This window comes from Homo sapiens, chromosome 2, assembly GCF_000001405.40.
Source record: "Homo sapiens chromosome 2, GRCh38.p14 Primary Assembly".
Lineage (NCBI taxonomy): Eukaryota > Metazoa > Chordata > Mammalia > Primates > Hominidae > Homo > Homo sapiens.
In genome coordinates this window covers 159,857,835-159,878,601 of record NC_000002.12, presented here as the reverse complement: position 1 = coordinate 159,878,601, position 20,767 = coordinate 159,857,835, and the positions used below count along the sequence as shown (strand labels likewise).

Here is a 20,767-nt window from a genome sequence, read left to right as displayed (position 1 = left end):
CTTTCAACTCTGAATTCTTTTGCCAAACAGTCTTCCTAAGTAAAAGGTGCATCTTCAAATAGAGTCAATCATTGTGAAACACTTGCCAATTTGATTCTCCTTTTGTAGATTTGAGCAAGAATACCTAAATGATTTGATGAAAAAGTATGATAAATCTCTAAGAAAATACTTCTGGACTGGCCTGAGAGATGTAGATTCTTGTGGAGAGTATAACTGGGCAACTGTTGGTGGAAGAAGGCGGGCTGTAACCTTTTCCAACTGGAATTTTCTTGAGCCAGGTGAGTGTCTTAATCTTTGAAGTAGTAGTATACTGTGACTAGTGAAAGGCAGCACTCCTCCCAAAGATGTTCCTCACTTACTTTTGAAATGTGAGGGACATGATGATCTTCAGGATTGGAGTCTATCTATGGAACCATAAATAGAAGCAGTGGCTATGTCTTCCCTATTATGTCCTTGGGAATAATCCAATGAAAGAAATTCAAAAACTTAGTTCTCCCAAACCACCATCTAATGGCTCAGAGCTAGAAGCACCAGTGTGAGTTTTTAAAATCTTTTCCATGTAAATCTCAAATAGAATCTAGAAGCTCCCGTGTGAGGCTCTTTACATTTTCATCTCTCTGCTTCTTAACCTATTTTCAAAACTGAATGTGTTTTCTTCCATTATTCTCAATGGGTAAGAATTATGGAGGCTATCTTGTATTATTTATTTTGTTTTTGTTTTTGTTTTTGTTTTGAGATGGGGTCTCACTCTGTTGCCCAGGCTGGAATGCAGTGGTGTGATCTCGGCTCACTGCAACCTCTGCCTCCCAGGTTCAAGTGATTCTTCTGCCTCAGCCTCCCAAGTAGCTGGGATTACAGGTGCATGCCAACATGCCCAGCTACTTTTTGTATTTCTGTAGAGATGGGGTTTTAACATGTTGGCCAGGCTGGTCTCGATCTCCTGACCCCAAGTAATCCATCTGCCTCAGCCTCCCAAAGTGCTGGGATTACAGGTGTGAGCCACTGTGCCTGGCTTCTTATTTATTTTGAAAGTTATTTCCTCTTTCTCCAACCAGCCTAAAGCATTGACCATAATTTGCCATAGAATCAGAACACTTAAGCCGGAAAGGACCTCAGAAATACTTTTAGAGTTAAGAAAACAGAGACTTTAAAAGGTGATTTACTTGACAAAGATCATCTGGTTATTGAATTAATGAAATCCAGAGTTCCTGATTTTTAAGCCAGTGGCTTTGAATAAGACAGCAGTATAAAGCATTCTACTTTTCACCCTGTGAATTATTTATATTTTATTGTGTTGGTCTAATGTGATCATGAAGACTATTTTTTATAACACAGAGATTGGAAAATATGAGCTTACAATTGAACATGTTATTTGAAATAGAAAATGCCCACAAAAGTTAGGACACATGGTCATCACCATCAACATGAGTGATGTTGCTAGTAACAAAGTCATCCTTTTATGTCTGAAAAAGATAGAGTATACAGATGTTGATCCTGGTTAAATCTCAGATTAAGAACACTCTAATGGATAAAGCACATAGATTTCTTTTTTTCTTTTTCTTTTTTCTTTTTTTTTTTTTTTTTTTTTTTTTGAGATGGAGTTTCGCTCCTCTTGCCCAGGCTGGAGTGCAATGGCTCGATCTCGGCTCACTGTAACCTCTGCCTCCCGTGTACAAACAATTCTCCTGCCTCAGCCTCCCAAGTAGCTGGGATTACAGGCACCTGCCACCATGCCCAGCTAATTTTTTTTGTATTTTTAGTAGAGACGGAGTTTCACCATTTTGGCCAGGCTGGTCTCGAACTCCTGACCTCAGGTGATCTACCCACCTCAGCCTCCGAAAGTGCTGGGATTACAGGCGTGAGCCACCGTGCCTGGCCAGATTTGTTTTATAGACACTAAGAGTAAAGGTGACGTTCTTGATAACTAAGTCTTGGTGGTTGGAGAGGTGCTTGGGAAGTAGCTACCATGACTACTTCCTCCATTCTATGACCAGAAAGGCTATGTGAAGCTCTCTTTACCATTATTGCACCCATCCTCAGCCAACTTGGTCTATCATGGGCACACCGTGGATAGAAGGACTGAACAGGGAAAAATAGCACACCCATTCAGGGTAGCAAGGCAATTATTTTTCCCAGTTTCTTATTCCTCTTGCTGTTTGTGTATATGAGACTATGTGGCTTCTCTGTTTGGTGGGATAGAAGTTGTCCTATTACTTTTCAGTATATGTAACTCTTCTTGTCTTTTACCTGCTTCAGGCAGTGTGATGTAATGGAAAATGGAACATGATGTTTTGTCAGACAAATCTGGTTTCAACCCCAACTCTACCATTCACTAACTCTGACTGTGGGCAAGTTACTTAGTCTTCATTTACAAAATGGAACTGATAATTCAAACTACCTTTTAATACTGTTATGAATACATAAAATTATGACTGTCATAAAATTAACGGTAAACAAATGTATGTTACCACATACCTCCTTCTACCTTTATTGTACCAGCTTTTCCTTTGGATCAGAATCTGGGAGAGTTGTGTTTTGAGGTTAACTAAGTTTCTTAAAAACTGCTCAAAGTTTTTAAGCTAATTTGAACCACTATCCTAAGCAGCAGTAGTATTTAGGGTACAGCTCTAGAAACAGACCACCTGGGCACAAATCCTGGGGCAACCACTTACTAATTCTATGACCTTGAACAAGTCACTTCATTCTCACTGTACCTCAAATTATGACAATAGAATCCCCCCATAGGTTTGTTATGAGGATTAATCTTTTTCAAAAAGTACTTTACAAATAATAAACACCTGTCATTATTATTCTGAACAACATATTTCTTTCCTCTCTTTGTTCCATTTTTTTTTTATTCTCTCTCCCCAACTTGGCTGAAGTAAAGAGTAGAAACACTAGAAAATGTTTGAACTTTAACGTTTTAATTTTTAATTGAGCTTTCCACTTCAATCCCAGCTTCCCCGGGCGGCTGCGTGGCTATGTCTACTGGAAAGTCTGTTGGAAAGTGGGAGGTGAAGGACTGCAGAAGCTTCAAAGCACTTTCAATTTGCAAGAAAATGAGTGGACCCCTTGGGCCTGAAGAAGCATCCCCTAAGCCTGATGACCCCTGTCCTGAAGGCTGGCAGAGTTTCCCCGCAAGTCTTTCTTGTTATAAGGTAAAGTGACATTCTCATTCTATCCTTCAATGAAGTTATTTTTCCACTACCCTTGTTCATGTCCTTGTACAAATTATGCTCTTCTCCATAGTACTATGTAACCTAACTAAAGTGCTCTGGAGCACAGAGTCCTTGGCAGGGCATCGCTGAACCTCTGGTGTGAGGTGCCTCAGCCCCACACCCTGCACGTGTCCTACCTGAAAGGGCAGGCCCAAAGCCAGAAGTGGCTCCACCCCAAGGTCTTTTTTTCCCAGTAAGTTGGTGTACTATATGCCATACTGCCACTATGCCTATGATCCTCATATTCCTCTAATTCTTGTTGTCAAATTAACAGCTCCAGCACTCCTAATAATGTAAAAAAAGTGTATATATATTTACACTTTTACAAACATATATATATTTGTGTGTATATATACAAATATATATATTTATATATACAATATATATATTTATAAACATATTTACAATATATATATTATAAATATATTTATAAATATATTTACAATATATATATTTATAAATATATTTATAAAATATATATGTTTATATATTTACAAAATATATATGTATATATATTTACAAAATATATATATATTTACATATATTTACAAAATATATATATTTACATAAATTTACAAAATATATATATTTACATATATTTACAAAATATATATATTTACATATATTTACAAAATATATATATTTACATATATTTACAAAATATATATATTTACATATATTTACAAAATATATATATTTACATATATTTACAAAATATATATATATTTACAAAATATATATATTTACATATATTTACTATATATATATTTACAAAATATATATATTTATATATATTTACAAAATATGTACATATTTATATAGATTTACAAAATATGTACATATTTATATAGATTTACAAAATATGTACATATTTATATAGATTTACAAAATATGTACATATTTATATAGATTTACAAAATATGTATATATTTATATAGATTTACAAAATATGTATATATTTATATAGATTTACAAAATATGTATATATTTATATAGATTTACAAAATATGTATATATTTATATAGATTTACAAAATATGTATATATTTATATAGATTTACAAAACATATATATATTTATATATTTACAAAACATATATTTACAATATATTTATATATATTTACAATATATATATTTACAATATATATATTTACAATATATTTATATATATTTACTATATATATTTACAATATATTTATATATATTTACAATATATATACGTTTATATATATTTACAAAATATATATACGTTTATATATTTACAAAATATATATACGTTTATATATTTACAAAATATATACGTTTATATATTTTTACAAAATATATACGTTTATATGTATTTTTACAAAATATATACGTTTATATGTATTTTTACAAAATATATACGTTTATATGTATTTTTACAAAATATATACGTTTATATGTATTTTTACAAAATATATACGTTTATATGTATTTTTACAAAATATATACGTTTATATGTATTTTTACAAAATATATACGTTTATATGTATTTTTACAAAATATATACGTTTATATGTATTTTTACAAAATATATACGTTTATATGTATTTTTACTATATGTATATATTTATGTATATTTTTACAAAATGTATATATTTATGTATATTTTTACAAAATGTATATATTTATGTGTATTTTTATTATATGTATATATATTTATATATATATTTGGTCTGCATCAGTCAGCTAGTTCCATAAACAAACCACTAGATGCCATCCCAAAATTCGGTGGCTATGACAACAAACATTTAGCCTCACATTCTCACAGATCTTCAGGCCAGCTAGAGTTTGACTGATCTAGTTTGGGCTTGAATGGTGACCTCTGCTCCCAACTTCAGGTCAGCTGTGCTGGGCTCCAGCCCTTCCTTCTAGAGCTCAGGCTAAAAGGGCAACAGCTCACAGGGGTTTGTTGTTCTCATGGTATATCACTGGAGCCCAAGAAGGCAAGCCAACCATATAAGCACATTTCAGGCCTCTGCTCAGTTTACCTTCACTAATATCCCATCAACACAGTAAGTCATATGGCCAAGCCCCATGCCAAGGTACAAAGACGTATACTCCGCCCACCAGGGGGCTGTGGCAAGACCATCTAATTATATTACAAGGAACTGAAGAATTGGGACAAATATAATTCATCCTGTCATTGTGTCATCATCTCTTCTTCCTCCTCTGCCTCCTCCTCCTCCTCTTTTTCTTCTTTCTTCTTTCTTCTTTCTTCTTCTTTCTTTTTCTCCTTTCTTCTTCTTTTGAAACAGCCCAAGTTCCAGGTTTACTTTTGCCACTTTCTGTCAATATTCACACACCAGTGCAGACTGCTCTTTGGTTGTTCCTCGTCAGAAAATAGTGCTATTTTTGTGTGGGTCACTGTGTCTTATATTCGAAATTTCTATTGTTAGCACATTTCTTTGCCAAAGGCTACTCCCAAAGCATTTATATGTATCCTTTACAGCCTTGCCTCCTGGTTCATTTTATCTTTCAAGGTCCTAGGAATACAGGAGAACGTGGATCTTGTTGGAATAGTTCCCCAGCCTGGCTGAGGAAGGCCATCCATCTGACCACAAGGACTGGCATCTGTGCTGGCCTTTAGTTGAATTGACACTTTCAGCAGGACCTGTCTGTGTCTCAGTATATGTGCATTTACCTATGCCTTCACTACACCTTTAAGAATTCATTTCAGGGGCCCACACATGTGACAGTAATTGACTTTAGCACTATGAAATACTTTATGATAATACCATAAAACAAATTAATATTATATTTTGCTAAGGTATTCCATGCAGAAAGAATTGTAAGAAAGAGGAACTGGGAAGAAGCTGAACGATTCTGCCAAGCCCTTGGAGCACACCTTTCTAGCTTCAGCCATGTGGATGAAATAAAGGAATTTCTTCACTTTTTAACGGACCAGTTCAGGTAATACTTTAAGAATGAGAATTTCTATGCTGAATTTGATGTCCTCTAGATATTCAAAATTGACATGTTCTTACCCTCACTCTCTGTTGGAAAAAAAATGGACATGTTTTATTATCTAAAAGGTCATTTGGTGCTTAGCAGTCATGGAACATTAAGCACTCTTAATGTGCAGACACTATGAGGAATCTAAAAATGAATGAGATGTATTCCCTACCCTTTGTTTAATAAAGTCCAACAGCAATGTATGGCAGAAAATCTAGAATATAGGCAAGGAAGGGCCTTGGGAATTCAGAGGAGGGAGGGAGTGTTTCTGGGAGTATAATCAGGAAAAATGTCATAAAGAAGGCTGATTCTTGGAAGGTAGGTATTATTTCAAAAGGCAAGATAGGAGAAGGAGAAGGAGCCAGAAAAAAAACAGAACATAAGCAAAGGAACTAAGACCAGAATATACAGATATGGTCAAGGAGAAATGAGTCATACAAATTAGCTAGAAAATGGAATTTGGATATGAAATTGGAATGTCCTTGTTTGCAAGGGAAGGAGTTTGATCTTAAGTAATTAAACACAACCAAACAAAAAACAAAAACAAGGTGCGTGTGTGTGTATTTATATCTACACACACTCACATATACCTGCATATATACATATATACACAGAGAGGAAGGGGTTGGCCAGGCTGGTCTCGAACTTCTGACCTCAGGTGATCTGCCCACCTCAGCCTCCCAAAGTACTGGGATTACAGGCATTAGCCACCACACCCAGCCCATTATCAGTTTTGATTAAGTGTGAGTCTGCAAATTTGTTCAATAATAATAAAGTCCAATTCTGCACTTTTGAAAGAGACTTAAAACAAAGCTTGCCAATTAGTACTTATCCAGCTCTAAGACTATAATGTTCTTTTCCTGGGAGGAAGGGGCCACAAAATACTACAAAATTGTGAAATTCTAATAAAAATCCTTAAAAATTTAAAAATTTTTTAAATTTTTTAATTTTAAAAATTAAAGCAACTAGCAACATTTTCATTGTGCAACAGATAAAAGTTAGTGCTGAGTAGCTGGTGGCCTCCTGAAATGGGGCCTGACTCTCCAATTTGCCAGGTCTCTAATTTATTACTTCTTGACCCCACTTCACTTGCTTATGTTATGTGCTTGTCTTATATTTACTCAAATAGCAATTGAGTTAATAATCACAAGTCATGTGATCATCTTAATAGGTACTGAAAATGCATTGGGTAAAATCCACTATTCATTCCTGGTTTAATACATAAATATACACTTATATTTAGTAAATATAACTAATATGTAAATTCTTATTTGAATAGAAGAATAGCTCAAATTAATAGCCATATCACACTTAATGATGAAGCATTGTTAAGTGCATTTCCCTGAAAGTCAGAAAAAGGTAAGTATCCCTATATCATCACTATTGTTAATCTTGGTTTGAAATTCAACTCCTGCACATTAAGATAAAAACAATACTATAATGTGTAAATGTTTATATATATTAAGCAGAGGAAAAGACAGATTATCAAAGAGTAAAAAATATACTATTTACATTTAAAACTAGACTGCAAAAAGGGTAATGGCTATTATATCTCTAGGAAGTAAGATTTTGAGTGATTTTTAAAGTCTTTTCTATGGGCTGGGTGTGGTGGCTTATGCCTGTAATCCCAGCACTTTGGGGGCCTGAGGTGAGAGGATTGCTTGAAACCAGGAGTTCGAGACCAGCCTGGGTAGCATAGGGAGACCCTATCTCTATTTAAAAAAAAAAAAAAAAGAATTAGCTGGGCATGGTGGCACACACCTGTAGTCCTGGTTACTCAGGAGGCTGAGTCAGGAGGATCACTTGAGCCCAGGAGTTCAAGGATACAGTGAGACAAGATAGTGCCACTGCACTCCAGCTTGGGCAACAGAGTGAGATGCTGTCTGTAAAAAATAAATGAATAGAATGTTTTCTTTGAAAATTTCTATATTTTCCAGATTTGCTTTTTGTTTTGTTTTTTGAGACAGTCTTGTTTTGTCACTCAGGCTGAGGTACAGTGGCATGATTACAGCTCACTGCAGCCTCAACCTCCCAGACTCAGGTAATCCCCCCACTTCAGCCTCCCAAGTAGCTGGGACTACAATCACATGCCACCACACCCAGCTAATGTTTGTATTTTTTTGTAGAAACGGGTTTTTCCATGTTGCCCAGGCTAATCTCAGATTCCTGGCTCAAGCGATTCACCTTCCTTGGCCTCCCAAGGTGCTGGGATCACAGATGTGAGCCACAGTGCCTGGCCCAGATTTGCTCTAATATAGCTTCTGCTGTGTTTTTCTCATTAGAGAATGTAGTTTCACTACAGTGTACTGGGAATCTAATGCAAAATATGATACCTGTGTTCCATAAATATTTATTTATTAAGCATCTATCGTAGAATCTCAGGTATTCTAGACATCATTGTCCAGTGTTAGAAATTAATATACAAAATTTCACTGCAGACTGACCCAAGGCAATTTGTATATACTAAATACTAACTCTTGGGTTCTTTGTGAGGTGAGTGTTAGCTATTCCCTCAACCTTGAGAATAGATTATAACAAATGCAAAATTCAGACCAAAATTTTCCACACATACAGACATTTGCTATGCAAACATTCATTGAAGCAGACACAAAACATTTTATACAACGTGTTTTGTAAGCTTGACAACATTCCAGCAATCTGTCCTTTTTGGTGTTTTAACTATCACCTTGCACAGATTTACTTGAAGCAGATGTGGCAGTGTTCTGTGGCAGCATTCTGTTCCCATTGTAGTGAGTATCAGGCCATCACAATCACCTGACCCAATGACTGGATGTGGGGTTGTTTCGAATCAAGCCCTACTAAGATACAGGCTGCGGCCTCGCAAGATTCTAATACACTCTTGAGAAGTGTGAGAGTTTCTCTAAATATTTTAGCTAATCCCTGCATCTCAAATAACTTATATTTCACCAGTGAGAGCCCAATCCTACCATCATGCTGATGAACAAGCTTCCGATTTCACTGACATTAACCCAGTTCTCACATTCATTCTGCTCATGACCAAAGCCTCCAGTGTGACTTTGGTGATCATGGAAGTCCTCATGGTGGCCACCTCTGGACCATGGCCTTTCTTTTTCTTTTTTTTTTTTATTATTATACTTTAAGTTCTAGGGTACATGTGCACAACATGCTGGTTTGTTACGTATGTATACATGTGCCATGTTGGTTTGCTGCACCCATTAGCTCGTCATTTACATTAGGTATTTCTCCTAATGCTATCCCTCCCCCATCACTCTGCCCCACAACAGGTCCCGGTGTGTGATGTTCCCCGCCCTGTGTCCAAGTGTTCTCATTGTTCAATTCCCACCTGTGAGTGAGAACATGCGGTGTTTGGTTTTCTGTCCTTGCGATAGTTTGCTCAGAATGATGGTTTCCAGCTTCATCCGTGTCCCTACAAAGGACATGAACTCATCCTTTTTTATGGCTGCATAGTATTCCATGGTGTATATGTGTGGGGCATGGCCTTTCAAATACACCACCAATACTTCCTGACATGTAAGTTTCAAGCAGGGCAACTTAATGGCCCTTAGATTTCAAGCTTGACACACACAATATCATATTATCCAGATAAAGTATTTTTAAGTAAAATGCTGACATAAGCTCTAGATTCCAAGCAAGAGGTTAGTAACTCTAACTGGAACGAGGAGCCATGGATAAGTACTAATGAATGAGGTTGTAGATATTTGTGAGAAACAATAAGTAGAAAACATTGGAATATCATATGTGATAGAAATGACCATTAAGAGCATCCATATACAGAACGAATTACACTAGGAAACAAAACATGAAAGGAAATTTTTATGATTTGTTTCTTTGTTTTGAATCACACTTGTTGAGCACTCCCTTCTTTAAAAAATTAATACAAGTTCATTATATAAAATTTGGAAAATATAAAAATGAGTAATGAAGCAAACAATCACCTCAAATCCTAGCTCCTGATTATAAACATAGTAAACCCTTAGTGTAAACCCTTTCTGTTTACTTACATCTCTACACATTTAGCTTTTACAAAACCTATTTTCCATAGAATGTACTATGTTTAATTTTTTTCTAATCATAAAAGTAATGCACATTGAATTTAGAAAACAGAACAGCACAGAGAAAAAACAAATCTCCTTAATCCCTTCACTTATAGGAACTGTATTTTATTTGTACTCTGATCCTAGCAGTTAACACAATGCCATGGTAAGCAGACTGCTTTGTTTGCTTAATAACTTCTCCATAATAAAGAAATTGTTTGCCTGTGCTGTGCTTAGAGAACATATTCTAAAACCAAAATTGTAACCATGGCTTAAAGGAAAGAAGGAAGCAAACCCATTTATATTAGAAAATGATTCTAAAGCATACTCCTTGAATGCCTTGGCTTTTTATTGCAGGAATTGACCTTTCTCAGCAAGATATCCATTGCCCAAATTGTGTATTGCATGCCAAGGAGTTAAGTCAGATTACTGCTGTACCTCTCACAATCTAAGTTCCACATCTCTATTTGTATTTCAGTGAAAAGGATTCATGGTGCACCAAATCATTAAGGCTCTGAGATCTTTGCAACTCTTAATGGCAGCCCAACAGGGACAGCCACTGTAGGGCAAAAATAGCCATAGGATTAGAGAAGAAAGCCTTGTTTGCAATGCCATTGCTGCTGTGTACACTACCCCCTGTGATGTGGCAAGAATGGATTTAGACATAAATCTAAGGCTTTGTAGAATAAGCACCCTCATCAAATAGTATTTATTGGGGCTTATGGCTGAGATACTGTTTTCCTTAGCAACCAAATGCAGCAGGAAATTTGATTGAGAATAGGAATTTTAACACAATTACACATATTAACCTTTTACGCTATCTCTTCTTAACCCAATAGTTTTAAAACCATATACTTAGTGCTTGGAGTACCAGGAACTTATAAAGAGAGAGAGGGAATCTCAGTTTGACTTGATTCCCCAGTTATGATCAGGTGCAATTTTTTCCTTCACATTTTCTAAAATCAACATTGGAAGTGTGCAATGATCAATGTGATATCCAATTTCTTCTTCCCTTTATCTGCCTACAGCTAAACTAGGCCAAACCAGGAATGAGTTACAATTGAGGAAATATTTTCCACTTCTGATCCCGCACAAAAAAAATACATACATGTCGCTATTATTTTCTGTATTTATGACATGCTAGTGAGTTCTTTAAAATGAAGCTGAAATCTGTAAATTTCTGTGTTCAAATGAAACTTTTTTCAATCTGTAAATTTCTGTGTTCAAATGAAACATTTCTGAAATACAGTTTCAGAAAGTAGTGGAGATTAGAAATTTTGGACAATCGAGCAAACTCTTTTCTGTAGGAAGCTGTCCTCTGAGGTGCAGCAAAGGAGCCAGAAATGGGCTTGAAAGCAGAGATGTTTCTAAGTGGAAGGAAGGGGAGCTATTAGCTGAGAGAAGACTGGGTAAGGGCTTGAGGAGCCTAGAAAGTTGAGGATGAACCTCTAAAAAGGCTACCAGTGGGAGCCTCTACAATGCAGGTGACAAATGATCTTTGATCGTCTTCCTGGTTGTATTGTGGATTGTGTAAAGAAGATAAAATAGCTAATGCTTACTTTAGGGAAACACAAAATTCTACACGAATTCCCCAGGCCCAAATATATAATGTGCAAAGATTTGGGAGAAATGCAGTTATTTCCCCAAGTAAATATGAGGAAGAAAACTTAACTGCCTCTCTATTTTAGCCGTCTGGCTTTAATTGTGCTGTGTATGCCAATTGTCTAGACCCTGTGGTTTAGAAATCCAGCACTCGGGCAGTATGATACACTCGGAAGCCTGTAAGAGAGCTCCGATGAGCTGAAGGCATAAACTGCAAATTCCTCTTGTAGCTACTAAATTTAAACTGGATTTAATTGTCTCCACTGGATATATCTTAGGTCCACAAATTGGTGGATCTGTCTCTATGAAAGAAAACAAGATAACAATAAAAACCAAAACAGGACAGTCCTCATTCATATTCCATTGCATTAAGTCCAAAAGCCTTGAGGTTGAAAAGATGAAAAAGTACTTATTGTTGTTAAAATATGAGGGAATGTTGAACAAAGGTAAGAAATAAAGAAAAGCAATTATTTATTAAAAAATAAGAAATCAGTTTAAAATTCTTTGTTTCAGCCTTTGATTCACTAGTACATTTTATTAAAATGCACTTATATTTCTCTGTAGACTTGTAGCTATATGTTCCATATATTCTGCTGAACTTGAGAGTATGCATTGTTTTTAGATTTGGAATCTACCCCTTCTCTAAAATGTATCTGTATTACACTTACAGGCATATTACATTTATATATATGTATACACACATATGTACTGATCATACATACCATGTACCAACAAAAGGTTAAATTATGTGGAATATTATTGGTCGCCTAAAAGTGTAATAAATTTTAGAAAACATTTTCAAATGGAGTTAGAGGCAGAGAAAATTTTCTGTGCTTATATTACATCTACTTATGCTGGATATTTATCCCTGGCCAGAGCATAAATGTATTTGAGGGGAAAGGATTACTTAGACATATGTTCCTGCCTCCATATTGCTTGTGTAGATAGTCTTCCTTGGAAGGCCTACCCTTCTTCCTCTTGGCCAATCTGAATACTGGCATTCAGATCATGACTAGAAAGAAATGTTAGCCATCCCTTGAAGAATATCTTTTGTCCTACCAACCTCACAAAGTCTTTCTTCATTTTCTGCAGTCCGCAGTGACCTCTCCTTTCTCTGAACTTTTGTGTCACCTAAAATGTATATAACTCATTTGATAGCTTTCATAAATGGTCTTTACTTTTTTGTTCATATATATCTTATCTCTCTATTTCATATTACATTTCAGGGTAGATGTAGGTCTTATACTTCTCTGTGTCATCATTGCACCTAGCTCAATGCCTTTTACATAAAAGTATAATACTTATAGGTGATAAGTATAATCACTTAAATTATTGCTTAATTTATTTTTCTGGTATATTTCTTTGGCACATAGGCAATACTCAAATGCTTGTTTAAACTTAGTGGATAGTAGGAACTCAACTATGTTTCAAATATTGTTTAACAAAAATTTAGCCAAATAGTTCTGCATTTTAAAGAAGAATATTTGATAGTGTTATAGACAAACACTTTAAAGAAATGCCATTGTTGCCTTTGACTGTATCTGAAAGTATTGTTTAATATTCAAGCACTACAGTAAAAGTCTTGGAATAATTTCCATTTTTTTCCTCTTAAAATTCAAAGTAGAATGGTTTTTGCCTTTCATATGAAGAAAACAGCTTAATATGTAGTTTTAAAAGTATGGTACTTTTTCTGTAACTACCCCACATTAAGGGCTTAGTTTCATTTCAAAAGACTTCTTTATGTTGCTTGAAACTGTGCTTTTCAATTAGTGATGCACATTAGACATGTGAGTGCTAAATATTTTTGCCAAGCATTGTCCTGTATTTTTAACACTTGCTTTTTACATAGTGGCCAGCATTGGCTGTGGATTGGTTTGAATAAAAGGAGCCCAGATTTACAAGGATCCTGGCAATGGAGTGATCGTACACCAGTAAGTTAAAACGTTATTGTTTTAGGTAGTATGGAAACACTGTTTGTTTCAATAACAAGTTGATTGTTAAATAATACATTGACACCTAAAATTTATATGGAACCACAAAAGACCCTGAATAGCCAAAGAAATCTTGAGCAAAAAGAATAAAGCTGGAGGCCATCACACTACCTGAGCTTGAAGATACACCTCAAAGCTATAGTAACCAAAACAGCATGGTACTGGCATAAAAACAGACACTTAGACCAACGGAACAGAATAGAGAGGCCAAAAATACATCCATATATTTATAGCCAACTGGTTTTCAACAAAGATACCAAGAGCACACAATGAGAAAAGGACAGTCTCTTCTATAAATGATAGTAGGAAAACTGGATTTCCACATGCAGAAAAATGAGATTAAACCCTTATCTCATACCATATACAAAAATCAACTCCAAATGAATTAAAGCCCTAAATGGTAGGCCCCAAACTATGAAACTACTAGGAGAAAACACAGGGGGAAAGCTCCATGACATTGGTCTGGACAAGGATTTTTTTGGATACGAACTCAAAAACACAGACAACAAAAACCAAAATAGACAAATGGGATTACATCAGACTAAAAAGCTTCTGCACAATAAAGGAAACAATCAACAGAGTGAAGAGACAACCCACAGAATAAGAGAAAATATTTGCAAATTATCATCTGATTAAAGGTTAATATCCAAAATACAGTCGTACATCACTTAACAATGGGATACATTTTGAGAAATGCATTGTTAGTTAGGCAGTGTTTTTGTGCAAACATCATAGAACATACTTAAACAAATCTAGATGGTACAGCCTACTTCACACATAGGCTACACATCTAGGCTTTATATTGCTCCTAGGCTACAAACCTGTTGAACATGTTACTGTACTGACTACTATAGGGATTTGTAACACAATGATAACATAGAAAAGGTACAGTAAAGATATAATCTCGTGGGAACACATCTTCAAGGGATGGCTAACATTTCTTTCTAGCCATGATCTGAATGCCAGTATTCACACTGGCCAAGAGGAGGAAGGATAGGCCTTCCAAGGAAGACTATCTACACAAGCATATGGAGGCAGGAACATACATGTAGGCCATCTGTGGTTGACTGAAAGGCCATTATGCAATGCATGACTGTAGATAAGGAACTCAAACAACTCAATAGCAAGAAAACAATCTGATTTTAAAATGGCCAAATGACTGAATAGACATTTCTCAAAAGAAGACATACAGATGGCCAACAGTCATAGGAAAAAATGCTCAACATCACTAATCATCAGGGAAATGCACATTAAAACCATAGTAAGTTATCACCTCCCACCTCTCAGAATGATTATTATAAAAAAGACAAAAGATACATGTTGGTAAGGATGTGGAGAAGAGGGAGCTTTTGCACACTGTTGGTGGGAATGTAAATTAGTACAACCATTATTGAAAACACTATGAAGGTCCCTCAAAAAATTAAAAATAGAACTAACCACATGAACAGCAATCCCACTACTGGGCATATATTCAGAGGAAGTGAAATGAGAATGTTTAAGATACTCGGAGGGTGACTGCAGCACTATTCATGGTAGCCAAGATAGGAAATCAACCTAAGTGTCCATCAACAGATGAATGGATGAAGCAAGTATGGTACATGTACACAATGGAGTACTACTCAGCCATAAAAGGGAAGGAAATCCTGCCGTTTGTGACAACATGGGTGACCCTGGAGGACATTATGTTAAATGAAAGAAGCCAGGCACAGAAAGACAAATGCCACGTGATATCACTGAGATGTGGAATTTAAAAAAAAAAAAAAAGGATCTCATAGAGCTAAAGAATAGAATGGTGGTTTCCAAGAGCTGGGGCAGATGAGGTGGGGGACTGGGGAGATGTTGGTCAAAGGATACAAAATTTCATTTAGATAGGAAGAATAAGTTCAAGAGATCTATTGTACAACAAGTTGGTTATAGTTAATATTTTATATTCTTGAAAAATGCTAAAAGTAGATGTTAAGTGTTCTCACCACAGAAATAACTGTGTGAGATAATGCATTTGTTAATTAGCTAAATTTAGTCAGTCCACAATGTATATATACTTCAAAACATCATGTTGTATATGATAAATGCATATACTTTTATCTGCCAATTTAAAAAATAAAATAAATACATTCACGTATCATACAACCATTAAAATTATGTGTCTTTATTGAAATGAAAATAGAGTCTCATATAGGCAGTAAGGAAAAGACAAGTTACAAGTCTTCTTTTTATTTTTAAAAACCCATATGTATAGTCTCTCTATATATAGTCAAAAAATTGTAAAGCTATAAATATAGTAGTCATCTTTGGGTAGTATGAGTGATTTTTTTCTTTTTGAAATGGGGTCTTACTCTGCCACCCAGGGTGAAGTGCAGTGCTGCGATCTCAACTCACTACAACCTTCACCTCCCAGGCTCAAGCGATCTTCCCACCTAGCCTCCCCAGTAGCTGAGACCACAGATGCATGCCATCACGCCCGGCTAATTTTTTTTTTTTTTTTTTGAGACGTAGTCTCACTCTGTCGCCCAGGCTAGAGTGCAGTCGTGCAATCTCTGCTCACTGCAAGCTCCGCCTCCCGGGTTCACACCATTCTCCTGCCTCAGCCTCCTGAGTGGCTGGGACTTCAGGCATGTGCCACCACGCCCAACTAATTTTTTAGTAGAGATGGGGTTTCACCATATTGGCCAGGGTGATCTCTAACTCCTGACCCTGTGATCCACCCGCCTCAGCCTCCCAAAGTGCTGGGATTACAGGTGTGAGCTACCGTGCCCTTCCACGCCCAGCTAATTCTTATATTTTTTTGTAGAGATAGGGTTTCACCATGTTGCCCAGGCTGGTCTCAAACTCCTGAGCTCAGGCAGTCTACCCATCTTAGCCTCCCAAAGTGTTGGAATTACAGGTGTGAGCCACATCTGGCCACAAGTGATTGTTTTCAAAGCTTTCTCTTTATACTGTTTATTTTCATTTTTATAGTAAGAAGCTTTTCTTTTTATTATCTAAATATGGAAGAGTTATACAAAAAATAAAATATCTTTTTCTGGGGGGACTAGGTGGGGATGACAGAGTCTCACTGTGTCACCCAGGCTAGAATACAGTGGTGCCAGTATGACTCACTGCAGCCTCAACCTCCTGGGTTCAATTGATCCTCATGTCTCAGCCTCTCAAGTACAGGCACATGCCACCACATCCAGCTAATTTTTGTATTTTTTGTAGAGATGGGGTTTCACCATGTTGCCCAGGCTGGTCTCGAATTCCTGGGCTCAAGCCATCTGCCAACCTTGGCCTCCCAAAGTGCTGGGATTACCAGCATGAGTCACTGTGCCTGGCCAAAAGTATCCTTATTGGAGGAAATTATTTGTTTGGAGAAACCTCTAGAAAATCCTTGCTATTATTCCACATTTATATTATAAGGATATATTAGTGTAATAGTTATAGGAGCAAAATTATTCTCAGATATTCAATATTTACTCCAATTTTTGTCACCAAAAATTGGTGACTCCAATGTCACCTCCTTTTTTATTCTTTCTAAATGTAAAACTCCTTGAGTTTATTTTCAAATTGGAGCATATCTGAGATTAGTTAATCAAATAATGAGCATTTCAACACATGCAAAAAAAGAAAAAAGTATTTTGCAAACCTGATTCTCTATGACTCCAGCGGCGAACTTAATACACTATTAACTTCCACTTCTGAAACTGTGGCTTCCTTTGTTTGGAAACTTATGACATTATGACATTTGCTAAGTCCTCTCATGATTTAGCATCATGATATAAAAAAGAGATGGAAAAGTTTTCTTTCTGTGGCATATCAACGCACTTGAGTGATTAAGGCTGCCTAAATTACATCTAAATTGCAAATATTTATACATCAGTCTTAAATTCTCAAGCCTCTCTTGTCTTTTCAGGTGTCTACTATTATCATGCCAAATGAGTTTCAGCAGGATTATGACATCAGAGACTGTGCTGCTGTCAAGGTCAGTACAATGCTGGAAAATCTGCATATTTAAAACATAAGTCCATCATCATATGCAGTCAAGTAACAGATCCATGGAGTGTCTTTTTATGTGAAGCATGATGTTAGATGCAGTGAGAGATAAGCACACCCATGGCCTGGCCCTCAGCAGCCTAACTTACACTTCATTTGAGAGGATAAAATTCATATTCAAGAAAACCTCTCTCATTACCACGCAGTAATATGCTCCAAATGAGGGGGCTGAGGAAGGCTAATGAAATTCAGAGGAGAAAGTGAGTCCCATGGCCATTTCCCAGGAAGAGGTGGGACTTGAACTGGGACTTTAAGGATGGATAGAGTTTCTACAAATGGGATAGGGTAAGGTTTTTTCATGAGGGGATGGTATGAGAAAGTGGTATAAAATAAGGTGGAAGTGGAAGAGGGCAGTGGAGAACAGAATACAGATCAAGAAGTTTCATTGGTGCTGTCCTTGATAACAGTATTAGGAAATCAGATTGATGCCACTTTAAGGAATTTCTACACTTCTTGATAGGCAACAGGGCATTTTTTAAAGTTTCTGAGTAGGGAGGGTCACATGAACTAAGGAGGGTATGAGGAAGATTCATCTTGAGACAGATGTCAAAAGCAACAGGTAAGATTGGAAGGCATAGAAGACCAGTGAGGCATCTTCCTTTGCAGAATGCATTCATGTATCCATTTCATAAACAGTCCAAGGAGTCAGTGAGGCACTGGGTGATAGAACAATGACAAGGTACAAAGCATAGCCATTGTCTTCACAAAACTAAAGTCTAGTAGGAAATAAAGACAAGTAAACAAGCAATTACAACACCACTGAGTAAAGACTATGACATGCGAAATACAAGTTTTATGCAAGAACAAGAATATTATGAAAGAATAATAAGGATGGTGATGGTGATGGTCCATGGTGGTGGTGATGATGATGATGGAGCAGCTAACACTGATTAACTCCTTTATGAGCCAGCCACTATACTAGGCATGTCACATATGTCACATAGCACATAAGCAATCTTGTGAGGTAGGCACTGTTACTGTATTCATCTCACATGGAAATTTGAGCTGTGAGTAATTTACCCCAGCTTACATGGAGTAAATTTAAACTGAAAGAACTGAAATTTACACCCATGTGTGTCTGGGTCTGGTACTCTTAACCACTATGCTATATGACTAGGCATTTATAGAAATAGAAAGGGTATTGATTTATGAGAAAATTGTATGTTTTAGTTCAGATATTTTGAATCCAAGCTAGCTATAAGATGTATGCTATGGTAAGTTGAGATCAAGAGTCTTGAGTTGAAAGGAAAATGTATATTTTTAAAAAAAGGGCCAAGAAGTGGATTTGGAGGAACTGCCAATATATAGAGTGAAAAAAGATGAAGATGGAGGAGACATCAGTTAATATCTTTGATTTGTAGTCCAAGAAAGAGATTCAACAAGGTGGCTGACCAGAAATGTTACAGGAAGGCTGAGGGATATAAGAACTGACAAAACCACAGGAAAGCACTGTTTTCAAAGTAACTCTTCTAGTAATAAACTGTGTAGTACATGTCATTTTTATAGAATTCCCAATGTAACACAGGAAAAGGTGAAAACTTCAGAGAAGCTTATGGAATTTTTAGTAGTGTTGAGAACACTGGTACAATAAACTGTGTTCTAGGGAAATAGAGTTGCCAAGTATGGAGAGATTTGAAAATCTACCAAATAAATAAAGAGATACTAATGCAACCTGCATCAGGAACAAGCCCAGCCAGGGCAGTGTTCTGTAAGGAAAATCTTACCTCACCTGCCACAGAACCCCCAGAAACTTGGTCTTAAGAGAAAATAGTCTAAGAAGTGATGGATGTCTCTCCCAAGTAATGCCTTCCCCTATCCTTTTTATCCTACTTGCTGACTGGAATTTGTAATGAGCCATCCTGGACCATGTGGAGAAGGGCAAAATCCTAGAAATGGCATGGTAACACCAGAGAAGGAGCCTGAGCCACTGAGGCTGGACCTTTATGTCGCTTTCTGATCTAATTTGATCACAGCTTGGTGCTTGGATACCTCTGAAATAAATATTCTAACAAAAATTGTCAGGTGTGGGGGAGAAAATTTGCATTTTGGACATAAACATGACTTTACAACATATTTCCTTTGTTAGCCCCTTTGAGGGCTCTTGCTCAGGGTATTACTGTTTAAATATTCCATTAATTCATGTGTTCATTTATCGAACAAATATCTTAGGTGCTAGAGCTAAAATAGAGATCAAAGTCATAGGGCTTACAGTTTAGTGTTCCATAAGGGATGTATCAACTTCAAAATATTCTGCAATACTTTTCCTCTTATAGGTATTTCATAGGCCATGGCGAAGAGGCTGGCATTTCTATGATGATAGAGAATTTATTTATTTGAGGCCTTTTGCTTGTGATACAAAACTTGAATGGGTGTGCCAAATTCCAAAAGGTAAGTGGTAGTTATTCCTTTTCACAACCTTCTCATGTTAACATTGTGAATGCCTAGCTCAAAGTAGCTAGGGGAGCATTTTGATCTATAATTCTGATGTCTAAAAGCCTATGATGATGATGCAATTAATATGTGGAGCACCCCCTGCCTGACTCCGGCTTCTAATAGAAGGCTAGCTTATTGAAATTTAGTGATATCTTACTCTTTGATCATGGAAGAATTTGCATAGAAGATAAAATGTGAGGCTCATTCAGGGAGATTAGATTTTGGATGAAATATTATTTTAAGCAAAAGGAGAAATGCAGAATCATTTTCGTTTTTATTTTGATGCAAAATGAAAAAATAAAGATAATCTTGGGAAGAATAAGGCAGAAGTCAAGAAATAAAAATTTGGCAGGTCCCTGTAAAATTTAGAAGCAATTTTCAATGAACTATAAAACTGCTAATACTTTATATAAATTCAAATTTGAGAAGCCAGTTAGATTGATAGTATAGCCTTTGATAACAGAAGGGAGAGTGGGGAGAAA

At 36.1% G+C, this 20,767-nt stretch overlaps 2 protein-coding genes across 3 annotated transcripts in view; both read left to right on the top strand.

Annotated features, from left to right (window-relative positions):
* Nucleotides 1–20,767, top strand: part of LY75-CD302 (LY75-CD302 readthrough) — a 136,129-nt gene that overhangs the window by 26,155 nt on the left and 89,207 nt on the right. For both annotated transcript variants that reach the window (NM_001198760.1, NM_001198759.1), the window contains exons 11-16: nucleotides 109–278; nucleotides 2,959–3,158; nucleotides 6,009–6,151; nucleotides 13,682–13,763; nucleotides 17,713–17,781; nucleotides 20,126–20,240. In NM_001198760.1, coding sequence (NP_001185689.1) covers nucleotides 109–278; nucleotides 2,959–3,158; nucleotides 6,009–6,151; nucleotides 13,682–13,763; nucleotides 17,713–17,781; nucleotides 20,126–20,240 — 779 coding nt within the window. The remainder of the gene's footprint in view (nucleotides 1–108; nucleotides 279–2,958; nucleotides 3,159–6,008; nucleotides 6,152–13,681; nucleotides 13,764–17,712; nucleotides 17,782–20,125; nucleotides 20,241–20,767) is intronic.
* The window catches only part of LY75 (lymphocyte antigen 75), a 101,402-nt gene that overhangs the window by 26,155 nt on the left and 54,480 nt on the right, over nucleotides 1–20,767 (top strand). Inside the window, exons 11-16 of the mRNA NM_002349.4 lie at nucleotides 109–278; nucleotides 2,959–3,158; nucleotides 6,009–6,151; nucleotides 13,682–13,763; nucleotides 17,713–17,781; nucleotides 20,126–20,240. Of these exons, the coding sequence (NP_002340.2) occupies nucleotides 109–278; nucleotides 2,959–3,158; nucleotides 6,009–6,151; nucleotides 13,682–13,763; nucleotides 17,713–17,781; nucleotides 20,126–20,240 (779 nt within the window). The remainder of the gene's footprint in view (nucleotides 1–108; nucleotides 279–2,958; nucleotides 3,159–6,008; nucleotides 6,152–13,681; nucleotides 13,764–17,712; nucleotides 17,782–20,125; nucleotides 20,241–20,767) is intronic.